The 12,848-nt window shown below is 43.1% G+C and overlaps 1 protein-coding gene across 3 annotated transcripts in view, besides 2 other annotated features; it reads right to left on the bottom strand.

The window, feature by feature from the left end:
- The window catches only part of YTHDF2 (YTH N6-methyladenosine RNA binding protein F2), a 33,152-nt gene that overhangs the window by 4,787 nt on the left and 15,517 nt on the right, over positions 1-12,848 (bottom strand). The window lies entirely within an intron of this gene.
- Positions 1,741-2,242: an enhancer, noted in NCBI's record as "H3K27ac hESC enhancer chr1:29089259-29089760 (GRCh37/hg19 assembly coordinates)". NCBI's record gives its function as "activates a minimal SCP1, AML or CMV promoter by ChIP-STARR-seq in primed H9 embryonic stem cells {active_cell/tissue: H9 hESC(primed)}" and the evidence as "EXISTENCE:reporter gene assay evidence [ECO:0000049][PMID:30033119]".
- Positions 9,979-10,478: an enhancer, noted in NCBI's record as "H3K4me1 hESC enhancer chr1:29081023-29081522 (GRCh37/hg19 assembly coordinates)". NCBI's record gives its function as "activates a minimal SCP1, AML or CMV promoter by ChIP-STARR-seq in naive H9 embryonic stem cells {active_cell/tissue: H9 hESC(naive)}" and the evidence as "EXISTENCE:reporter gene assay evidence [ECO:0000049][PMID:30033119]".

Raw genomic sequence — 12,848 nt, 5'->3', positions numbered from 1 at the left:
GCAAGAGGATCATCTGAGCCCAGGAATTTGAGTCTGTAATGAACTATGATCACAGCTGTGAATAGTCACTGCACTTCAGCCTAGAGAACATAGCGAGACCTCATCTTAAAAAAAAAACAAAAAACAAAAAACAAAAAAACATTAAGGCCTGGCACGGTGGATCACCCGAGTAATCCTAGCACTCTAGGAGGCCGAGGAAGGTGGGATCACCTGAGGTCAGGAGTTCGAGACCAGCATGGCCAACATGGCAAAACCCCATCTCTACTAAAAATAAAAAATTGAGGCCAGGCACGATGGCCCACGCCTGTAATCCCAGCACTTTGGGAGGCCGAGGTGGGTGGATCACGAGGTCAGGAGTTCAAGACCAGCATGGCCAACATGGCAAAACCCCATCTCTACTAAAAATAAAAAATTGGGGCCGGGCACGATGGCTCACGCCTGTAATCCCAGCACTTTGAGAGGCCGAGGTGGGTGGATCACGAGGTCAGGAGTTCAAGATCAGCCTGGGCAAGATGGTGAAACCCCCACTACTAAAAAAAACAAAAAAAAAATTAGCCGGGCGTGGTGGTGGGCGCCTGTAATCCCAGCCATTTGGGAGGCTGAGGCAGAGAACTGCTTAAATCCAGGAGGCAGGGGATGCAGTGAGCTGAGATCGCGCCACTGTACTCCAGCCTGGGTGACAGAGCAAAACTCCGTCTCAAAAAAATAAAAATAAAAATAAATAAAAATAAAAAATTGGGCCGGGCACAGTGGCTCATGCCTGTAATCCCAGCACTTTGGGAGGCCGAGGTGGGCGGATCACCTGAGGTCGGGAGTTCGAGACCAGCCTGACCAACATGGAGAAACCCCCGTCTCTTACTAAAAATACAAAATTAGCTGGGCGTGGTGGCACATGCCTGTAATCCCAGCTACTAGGAAGGCTGAGGCAGGAAAATCGCTTGAACCTGGGAGATGGAGGTTGCAGTGAGCCGAGATCACACCACTGCACTCCAGCCTTGGCAACAAGAGAGAAACCCCGTCTCAAAAAAAAATAAAATAAATAAATTTAAAAAATAATAATAATAATAAAGATATGAGCTGGCATGAGTTAAAGTATATATAATAGGAAAAAAAAAAACAAAAGTTGGTTCTTTGAAAAAATTAAGATTACTTTGTACCCCATAAATATATACAATTATAAATTGTCGGCCAGGCTCAGTGGCTCACGCCCATAATCCCAAAAAAAAAAAAAATTGGCTGGGCACAGTGGCTTACGCCTGTGATCCCAGCACTTTGGGAGGCTGAGGTGGGCGGATCACCAGGTCAGGAGATCGAGACCATCCTGGCTAACATGGTGAAACCCCATCTCTGCTAAAAATACAAAAAATTAGTTGGGCATGGTGGCACACACCTGTAGTCCCAGCTATTCAGGAGGCTAAGGCAGGAGAATCGCTTGAACCTGGGTGGTGGAGGTTGCACTGAGCTGAGATCGCACCACTGCACTCCAGCCTGAGCAACAGAGGGAGATTCCATCTCAATAAAAAATAAAAATTAAAAATAAATAAAAAACTAGCCAGCCCTGGTGTCAGGCACCTATAATCCCAGCTACTCAGGAGGCTGAGGCAGGAGAATTGTTTGAACCCAGGGGGCAGAGGTTGCAGCGAGCCAAGGTCACGCCACTTCACTCCAGCCTGGGCAAAAGAGCAAAACTCTGTCTCAAATAAAAACATTAAAGATATTAACTATGAATAAATTAGGAAACTACAAGTCCAGACAGATCTGGTCTGTGGCTTAAATAACTAGAAATAATGTCGACATCTCTATCCACCCATCCACCTTAGGCCCTCCTCACTTTAAATCTATGATTACAAAATAGAAAACTCGGCTGGGTGCAGTGGCTCATGCCTGTAATGCCAGCACTTTGGGAGGCCGAGGCAGGTGGATCACTTGAGGTCAGTAGCTCAAGACAGGGCTGGCCAACATTGTGAAACCCCATCTCTACTAAAAATACAAAAATTAGCCAAGCGTGGTGGCACATGCCTGTAGTCCCAGCTATTCAGGAGGCTGAGGCAGGAGAATCAATCACTTGAACCCGGGTGAGCCAAGATCGCGCCACTGCACTCCAGCCTAGCCAACAGAGCTAGATTCTGTCTCAAAAATAAAAATTAAAAATAAAATAAAATAAAATAGAAAATTCAGTCTCTGGAGGAAATATACAAAAAGCCATAAGGTGGCAATGTTAAAGTCTGCACATATGCAATCTCTTCATATAATATTCAAAAACAGTAAATCTGCCTATTTAGCTTCCCTCTATTTAAGCTTAATAACCTTTCTACTTACTACTGCACTGTTCTATCCCTCCCTCTCCCTTCACTTTCAAGTGGGCCATAAAACACAACTGAGGCATATTCATATTCACCTGGATATAATTTTATTAACATTAAAATCTGGTAAATGTTTATCTCTCCCACAAAATTAAATCTATATAGCTCTCAACTAGTTTTTCCTATGCCCCCATGAACCTTGAAAGAAACCCAAAGTTCAGCACCCCAGCTGACAATATAAAATGCTTAGACGGGAGTCATTCTTTGAGACGGAGTCTCATTCTAAAATTCTTTGAGACAGAGTCTCGCTCTGTTGCCCAGACTGGAGTGCCGTGGCACAATCTCCACTCACTGCAAGCTCCACCTCCCGGGTTCATGCCATTCTCCTGCCTCAGCCTCCCGAGTAGCTGGGACTACAGGTGCCCGCCACCATGCCCGGCTAATTTTTTGTATTTTTAGTAGAGACGGGGTTTCACCGTGTTAGCCAGGATGGTCTCGATCTCCTGACCTCGTGATCCGCCCGCCTCAGCCTCCCAAAGTGCTGGGATTACAAGCGTGAGCCACCACGCCCGGCTAGGAAAATGTGTTTTTAAAAGTGATGTGATGACACAAAAATTACTTCCATTGCTTGATATGGTTTAATAGAATCAACCTTTATAGTCTCCAATGCCGTGAATAAGTTAAATAAGTCTAATGACTTGACTTTAGACTTCAAGTCATATATATATGAAACATCAAGTCATATATAATTAAGATGCTAACTTCCCCCAGATAAAGAGACAAAGTATTTTTCATCAGTTCTCCAATTTAAAGCAAGGCTATAATATTTTATTAAAAATATCTATTTTGGCCATGGTACCTCCTGCCTACAAGCCCAGCACTTTGGGAGGCTGGGACCAGCAGTTTGAGACCAGCCTGGGCAACATACTGAGAACCTGACTCTACTAGAATTTGAGACAGAGTTTCGCTCTTGTTGCCTGGAATGCAATGGCGCAATCTCGGCTCACCGCAACCTCCACTTCCCGGGTTCAAGCGATTCTTCTGCCTCAGCCTCCTGAGTAGCTGGGATTACATGCGTGCGCCACCATGCCCAGCTAATTTTGTATTTTTAGTAGAGACGGGGTTTCTCCATGTTGGTCAGGATGGTCTCGAACTCCCAACCTCAGGTGATCCACCTGCCTTGGCCTCCGTTATGTGCTGGGATTACAGGCATGGGCCACCGCACCAGCCAGAAATTTTTAAACATTAGGCCAGGCATGGTGGCTCACACCTGGAATCCTAACAATTTGAGAGGCCAAAGGAGGAGGATCACTTAAGCCCAGGAATTCAAGAACAGCCTGGGCAACACAGTGAAACCTTATCTCTCCAAAAAGTTTTTTTAATTAGCCAGGCATAGTGGCGAACACCTGTGTGGTCCCAGCTACTTAGAAGGCTGCAAGAAAAAGTATGCTTAAGCCCAGGAGGTCAAAGCTGCAATGAGTTGTGATCAGGCCACTACACTCCAGCCTGGGTGACAAAGTGAGGCCTTCTCTCAAAAAAAAAAAAAAAAAAAAATACACACACACACACACACACACACTCATGCACGATATAATGACATTTCAGTCAATGACAGATCAGTAAGATTATAATGGAGCTGACAAATTCCTATCACCTAGCGATGTCGAAGCCACTGTAAGGATGTAGCACAAAACATTACTCACTTGTTTGTGGTAATGCGGTGTAAACAAACCTACCGCACTGCAAGTCGTATAAAACTATAGCACGTAAAATTATGTATAATAAATAATACTTAATAACAAATTCGGCCAGGCGCAGTGGTTCACACCTGTAATTCCAGCACTTTGGGAGGCAGAGGCAGGCGGATCACCTGAGATCAGGAGTTTGAGACCAGCATGGCCAACATGGTGAAACCCTGTCTCTACCATAAATACAAAATCAGCTGGGTGTAGTGGCACGCGGCTGTAGTCCCAGCTACTTGGGAGGCTGAGGGAGGAGAATCGTTTGAACCTGGGAGGTGGAGGCTGCAGTAAGCAGCCAAAATCACACCACTGTACTCCAGCCCGGGCAACAGAGTGAGATTCTGTCTCAAAAAAAAAGCCAGGTGTGGTGGCTCACGACTGTAATCCATGGGAGGCCGAGGCAGGTGGATCACAAAGTCAGGAGATTTCAGACCATCCTGGCTAACACGGTGAAACCCCGTCTCTACTAAAAATACAAGAAATTAGCCAGGTTTGGTGGCGGGCGCCTGTAGTCCCAGCTACTCTGGAGGCTAAGGCAGGAGAATGGTGTGAACCTGGGACGTGGAGCTTGCAGTGAGCCAAGATAGCGCCACTGCACTCCAGCCTGGGCGACACAGCAAGACTCCGTCACACACACACACACACACACACACACACACACACACACACACAACCTACTATGTTATTGGCTTATATATTTACTATACTATACTTTTAATCATTATTTTAGAATGTACTACTTATTAAAAGAAAGGCTAATTGTAAAACTGCCTCTGATAGGTCCTTCAGGAGGTATTCCAGAAGAAGGTACTATTTTAGGAGATGACAGCTGTGTGTTACTGCTTCTGAAGACTTTCCAATCGAACAAGATGTGGTGGTTAAGACACTGATACTGATGATCCTGAGCCTGTGTAGGTCTAGGCTAATGTGTTTGCCATAGTTTTTAAAAAGATGTTAAAAATGTAAGTTTTTGTTTTTCTTTTTTTAAAGACAAGAGTCTCGCTCTGTTGCCCACGCTGGAGCACAGTGGCTCAATCTCAGCTCACTGCAACCTCCGCCTCCCGGGTTCAAGCAATTCTCGTGTCTCAGCCTCCCCAGTAGCTGGGATTACAGGTGTGCACCACCACGCCCGGCTAGGTTTTGTATTTTTAGTAGAGATGGGGTTTCACCATGTTGGTCAGGCCAGTCTCCAACTCCTGGCCTCACGTAATCCACCCGCCTCAGCCTCCCAAAGTGCTGGGATTACAGGCGTGCACCACCGTACCCAGTCCCCTTATCTTTTATACTGTGTTTTAATGTACATTTTCTGTGTTTAGATACACAAATACTTATCATTGCATTACAAGTGCCTATACTATTCAGTACGGTAACATGCTGTACAGGTTGGTATCCTAGGAACAACAGATTATACCATATAGCCTAAGTTGTGTAGTAGGCTCTACCATCTAGGTTTGTGTAAGTACACTATGTTTGCAGGACAAAATCACCTGACAATGCATTTCTCAGAACATATCCCCATCGCTAAGGGATGCATGATTGTATATCTAAATCTTCCTATTAACCCAATTAGGTATGTTCCCTAAGTTTTAAAGATATTTAGGCTCAGAGGATTTTCCATCTTCAATATTGGTGACAGCGGCAGATATGAAACCAACTCTTCCTCCAGAGCTCCAGGTCTTTCCAGTACCTATATATTTATTATCAAGACCACAAAATCCATAATTCATGCTCTACCAATATCAACTTTATACACCCAAATTTAAAATACAGGAGAATCACTTGTAGAGCTGATAAAATGCAGATTCCAAGGCCTCACCTCCAAAGATGCTCATTCAGTAGGTAAGGGAGAACAAGAATCTCAAAGTAAGAACTCTCAGAGGGTACTTTTTGTACTAACTGAAAAACTTCTCTTCAATCATTTCTAATCCTACAAGAAATACCTAGGGAGCTTATTAAATAAAATTTCTAATTCAGTTAAGTCTGTAAGTAGAACCTAGGTTATCAATGTATTTTTTAAACTTTCAAGGTGACTCAAAAGTTGTTTTAAATCAGTTACCATTTTTTGGCATTTATATACTGAAGCTCTCACGTCCAGGTCCACCGTACTTCCCCTCTCCTCACCACTGTGCAGGCCCACCGACCTCAACTAAAGTAACTTTTGCCATAACTAAAACTTTGAATTAGCCAAGAACTTGTCTAGGTTCTAATTCTAGCTCTGCCACCAAAGTGAGGTAACCCTGCAGTTCATGTATAACATGACAGTGGGGTAGACTAAAACGGTCCTACTTATGATAACCTGTCGCTGTGCATTATCCAGAACTGTTTACACTCTTCCTTATTCCTGCTGCCTGTAATTAGCAGCAACTTTTACAACCTTCAGCAAATGGTCATGGAGGTCATGTAGAGTAGATCTAATTCATTCCATTTTGAGACTTGTGATGGGAAAATTAAAACTGAGTGCTTACATACTTACGTTCCAACTAATTATGTTCTCTTTATATGTCCACAAAGGGGACTGACTACAGGCATCAGCAGATACTAAAACACAGTTAGCAATTTTATTATTATTAGTTTTTTGGAGACAGGGTCTCACTCTGTTGCCCACACTAGGGTGCAGTAATATGATCCTAGTTCACTGCAGCCTCAACTTCCTGGGCTCAGGGGATCCTTCCACCTCAGCCTCCCAGGTAGCTAGGACCACAGGTGCACGCCACCACACCTGGCTAATTTCTTTTTATTATTGCTTGCCCATGCTGGTCTCCAACTTCTAGGTTCAAGTGATCCTAGGTGGTTTACAGGTGTAAACCACCACACCCGGCCAGTTAGCAATTTTAAATAAGTATGAAGATATAGCATGGCCTAAAAACAAAAAGAGCCTTGGGGCAAAACAAATCCCAGTTCTACTTCCTAGGTAGTGATCTAGTTTTTCCTTATTCAATCTCAGGTCTCTACTTGGAAGATGAAGATAATCTTCACTCTTTTACAGGATTATTACAAGAGATTGAGGATATATGACAAGCGCCTTATAGATATCCAGCAAATGCCTAAATATGGGTAAATATTATACCTAAAGCACTAAGAAAAAGAGGATGAAATGAACACTATATACAAGATGATTATAACTGTATAAATTACATAGGTAAAGAAAAGAAAAAATGCCAAGATGAGTAGTTTTGTTGTAGTACAGGAATTACAGGTGATTTCTTTTGTTTTCTACGCTTTTTATAATTTGGTTACATTTTATAATAAAAACAAATGCAAAACTTGCAAATATTTATAGTTTGCACATTGCAAGATTTTTACATGCAAACGCTTAAGTTCTATATGCTATCCACATTACTCAAAAAAAACTCACATGAAGAGCTTTTAAGTCTATCTTCTTAAAATGGCTTCATGTAGTACACCAAGTGATATAGGCAAAATCGGAATTCTGACATAAGCAGTAGGCACACTGAACATCTCTTGAGAACCAACAGAAATTGCAATACCAAGTGCAAATGAGTTGGAAAGTAGAACAACTGCCAGCCCCTGTCCCTTCCCACTCTATATCCAACAGTTCACACAGGGGATTGGCCATTTTCTTCATCTTTCTGTCTTTTCCTACCCATCCTTTTAGACCCAATTCAAATTAAGTCTTCCATAAAAGTTTCTTGGTAACTCTAGCTCTAACTGATTTTGCTATTTTTCTATACTTGGTCTCACACTGTCAATTAGTACTTTAATATATGCTGCCCTAGAATGTTTCATTTGATACATCGTAATTCCTTGATATCTTTTCCCAATGGCTAACTGGAGTTAAATCAGTTCAACGAGGGACTATTTGTTTATTCCGCAAGGAATGAAAAGCATTAGGGTACTACTAATTGGGCCCACTGGAACTAGAATTTGGTCCAGGAGGTGGCAGCAGCATGCATATTTAAACTGTTACCTGCTTTGTGTAGGAGAAAGAAGCAACGATCTGAGCTGCCACTTTTTCCTTGCTCATTGTGCAGACTTACAGGATTTCAATGATGAATGTAAAAAAGCAGGAAGAGAACGTTTGCCCTAATTCAAAGAACAGAGCTTTTTTTTCTCCTCTGCATAAACTCCTAAGGAACTATAAGAACAGTCCTTCATCATGCTGTCCCTTAAAGGCAGGCAGGCAGGCAGGCAGGCAAAGCCAATGCTGTAAGCCTTCCCTATCTCCCTCCTGGGTAACTCTTCCTCATCCCTCCAAACCTGCGCCCAGACTAAATCACCCAACACCTTTAGAAGAGATGCTGAACTTGCTGAATCCTCATACTTCTCCCATATCAAAACAGATCCCTCTACCTCATCTTCCATGCATCATTCCCATTTTTAAAAATTCACTGTCATCTAGTGTGTTTCAAATTATGCTTCATAGGAGAGATGCTTCAGGTATCTTCTGGGAGAAGGGAAGCTGAACATGTAAAAATCATTCATGAGGTTCCAAGAAAAGTTTTGTTTGCAGGGAAAAAAAGAATTCCAATGCTAAAAACTGTTAGAGGAGTAATCTTTACTTCTGGTAGGTAAGCAGAATGGCTCATACTTGAGTGATTCTTGGTTTAAACTATTCAAGATATACTAAACGATTCTAGCATTGCCAACTAGCCCTTGTCCCACAAATGTTTAAGCATGGAAAAATAGCAGTCCTCCCTGGATCAATCTTTAGCCACATCAAAATCAAAATGCTGCCATTCTTCATATTCAACTCTGTATTTCAGACATTTTTACATAGTCTATTTCACCAAAACAGCCCATACTAGGCAAACAAAAGAGCTTTATAATAGCTCTTTAAGGCTTGGAACAGAGGTTGAAAGATACCGACTCTGCAAACACAAAGATAAAGAAACATGCAGAGTCTTTTGAATGAAGTACGGAGATCAAAACTTTCAAGTCTCTAATAGCAAAGCAACTTTTTATTCAACAGACATCACTGGCATCTGCAGTCATCTGTTACCTCTCTGCAGCCTCTGAGTTAAGTGTACTCTACCATACTGCTTGAAGTTCCATACAGGCTGTGTATCCCCTATCTGAAATTCTTGGGGTAAGAAATGTTTTGGATTTCAGATTTTTTGAATATTTGTAGATACATACTGGTTGAGCAACCCTAATCTGAAAATCCAAAATAGGAAATGCTCCAATGAACATTTTCTTCAGTGTCATGTGTGCACTCAGTTTCAGACTTTGGGGCATTTCAGATTTTCAAATTAGGAATACTCAACCTGAATAGCCCCTTCCTTGTTCTCTTTCTGAAACTCAAACTATTCTCTCTCAATCTCTTTCACTTGCTCCCTCTTTATTCTTCAAATTTTGTTATTTCTGGGGAACTTTTTCCATAGTCCTTTTCTCTCACTCGTGTTGGCTCTAGAACCACGCTGCAGAATTAGAACACCAGCTTTACTTTCGTATCTCATGTGCCTTTGCAAAGTTATTTACTCTTTTCTGTGTTTTAATGTTTTCATCAGTAAAACTGAGCTACTTATACCTACCTCACAAGGATACAAGAATTAAATGAACATACATTTAAATATATATTCAAGACAACTGTATGCTAGACACTGTACAGAGCATTCAATAACTGTTAGCCATTCTTATTACAAGAATCTTTGAAAAGTCAAACTCTTCCATGCCTTTACCTATCCTGAGGGTTGAAAATTCAAATTCCTGTCAACAATCTGAGCTCCAGATTCCCAGCTGCCTACTATCACCTGGCTGCTGCTACTATCACAGGCACCTGAAACTATTTCCAAAAGCCAATACAACCCCAAATCCTAACCCTAAACTGCTGCTCCTCTCATCATCTTTAATTTTTGAAAAACTAGTCAACAAATATGTCTACCACATTCTTCATATCCAGTTTCCCGTTCCCACTGTCCTGGTTCAGGCCCTCATCATCTTTTTTTCCCCAGAATACTGTAAAAGCATCTCGTTTAGTCTCTGAGCCATCTCCCACCCCTTTTTTTTTTTTTTTTTTTTTGAGCTGTCACCCAGGCTGGAATGCAGTGTTGCGATCTCGGCTCACTGTAACCTCTGCCTCCCAGGTTCAAGTGATTCTCATCCCTCAGCTCCCTGAGTAGCTGGGACTATAGGACTATAGGCACACACCACCACTCTTGGCTAATTTTTTTGTTTGTTTGAGACGAAGTTTTGCTCTCATTGCCCAGGCTGGAGTGCAGTGGAGCAATCTCGGCTCACTGCAACTGCCGCCTTCTGGTTTCAAGTGATTCTCCTGCCCCAGCCCCCTGAATACAGGCACCCACCACCACGCCCAGCTAATTTTTTAGTAGAGATGGGGTTTCACCATGTTGCCAGGCTGGTCTTGAACTCCTGACCTTGCGAACTACCCACCTCAGCCTCCCAAAGTGCTGGGATTACAGGCATGAGCCACCGCGCCCGGCCAATTTTTTTTTTGAGACACAGTCTCGCTCTTTCGCCCAGGCTGGAGTGCAGTAGCGCTATCTCAGCTCACTGCAAACTCCGCCTCCAGTGTTCACACCATTCTCCTGCCTCAGCCTCCTGAGTAGCTGGGACTACAGGCGCCCGTCACCACGCCCGGCTAATTTTTTTGTATTTTTAGTAGAGACAGTGTTTCGCCATGTTGGCCAGGCTGGTATCAAACTCATGGCCTCAAATGACCTGCCAACCTTGGCCTCCCAAAGTGCTGGAATTAGAGGCGTGAGCCAACTCACCCAGCCTCATAGATGTTTTGATAAGTTGCTTTCCTAAGCTTCCATTTGTTGATCTATAAATACAGGATACTGCCTCCCAGGTTGGTATGGGGATTAAAGTAAGGCTATGAAAGTACCTAGCATGGTGCTTAACAAGGTCAATGCTCAGTAAGTGTTTCATCCTTCCCATCCTCCAAACTGTTATTCCCTAATTAACTACCCTCCCTTACAACCAAACTAAAACACAGGTAAAGAATAAAATCCTAGGCCGAGCGCAGTGGCTCACACCTGTGATCCCAGCACTTTGGGAGGCCAAGGCAGGCAGATCACCTGAGGTCAGGAGTTTGAGACCAGCCTAGCCAACATGATGAAACCCTGTCACCACTAAAAATACAAAAATTAGCTGGGCGTGGTGACAGGCACCTGTAATCCCAGCTACTCGGGAGGCTGAGGCAGGAGAATCGCTTGAACCTGGGAGGGGGAGGCTGCAGCGAGCCAAGATCGCGCCATTGCACTCCAGCCTGGGGGACAAAGCGAGATTTTTGTCTCAGAAAAAAAAAAAAAAAAAGAATAAAATCCTGAAACTCTTCATATACTTGCCCAACCAATCTCTCCAGCGTTATCACTTACCATTCTAGACCACATTAAACTTCTCATTCTGAAAACATACCATAAGCATTCTCAAGACTATGTTTTTAACATGCTCTTACTAGAATGCCATTTTTTGGAAGACAGGGTCTCACTGTGCCCAGACTGGAGTACAGTGGTACCATCATGACTCACTGCAGACTTGACGTCCCGGGCTCAAGCAATCCTCCTGTCTCAGCCTCCTGAGCAACTAGGACTACAGGTGTGCCTCATCACACCTGGCTGATTTTTTTTTTTTTTTTTTTTTTTTTTTTTTTTTTTTTTTTGGAGAGGCAGGATTTCATTATGTTGCCTAGGCTGGTCTCAAACTCCTGGGTTCAAGTGATTCTCTTGCTGCAGCCTCCCCAAAGTGCGAGGATTACGGGCATGAGCCACTGCACCTAGCCATTTCTCTACTTTTCTATCTGGCAAACTTCATAGATCATGGAGTAGTCCATGAGCTTCGGGGTTAGAGACTCAGTGGCTCTCCAGGTGTAAGTTCCAATATACAAACATGAAACATGTTTTGAGCAACTTCTTTGCTAAACTGGGTAATAGTTTTTCAAATATTAGAATATTTCCTCAAAAAAATTTTTTTTTCTAGGGACAGTCTCCTGCTGTCACCCAGGCTGGGGTGCAGTGGCATGATCACAGCTCATTGCAGCTTTCATTTCCTGGACTCAAGCAATCCTCCTGCCTCAGCCTCCTGAGTAGCTATACTTTAGTTATGCGCCACCAAGTCTGGTTAATTTTTTTTAAATTTTTTGTAGAGACAAGGTCTCGCTATGCTGCCCAGGCTGGTCTCAAACTCCTGAGCTCAGGCAATCCTCCCACCTCAGCCTCCCAAAGTGTTGGGATTACAGGTGTGAGCCACTGTGCAGGACAAATTTTTGTGTTATTGAAAAAAAATGTTTAAGAGCTACAGTCGTGACACACAAATTTAATCTGCAATCAATATTTTCTCCATCACTATGAAGTCTAGACAATCAGCAAAAATTAAACATTGATTTATATACAGCATTTGTCAATTTCCACGATGTAACTAACAGCTGGGCCAGGCATGGTGGCTCACACCTGTAATCCCAGCACTTTGGGAGGCCGAGGCAGGCAGATCACAAGGTCAGGGGTTCGAGACCAGCCTGACCAATATGGTGAAACCTCGCTTCTACTAAAAATACAAAAATTAGCCGGGAGTGGTGGCAAGCACCTGTAGTCCCAGCTACTTGGGAGGCTGAGGCAGCCCTGAACCCGGGAGGTGGAGGACACAGTGAGTTGAGATCATGCCACTGCACTGCACTCCAGCCTGGGCAACAAGTGAGACTCCGTCTCAAAAACAACAACAACAACAAAAACACCACAGCTGATTTCAGATTACCAATGTGTTATCAGTGTGCAACAGCATATTATATATTGATACAACAGCTGTAAATAACCTCAAGAGTAAGGAATTTGAATATTACCTAATACGATGGTAATTATAATGTAATTTAATGTACAGAAAGGTA

Source organism: Homo sapiens, chromosome 1 (genome assembly GCF_000001405.40).
Source record: "Homo sapiens chromosome 1, GRCh38.p14 Primary Assembly".
Classification (NCBI taxonomy): Eukaryota; Metazoa; Chordata; class Mammalia; order Primates; family Hominidae; genus Homo; species Homo sapiens.
This window is presented reverse-complemented; position numbering and strand designations above follow the sequence as displayed.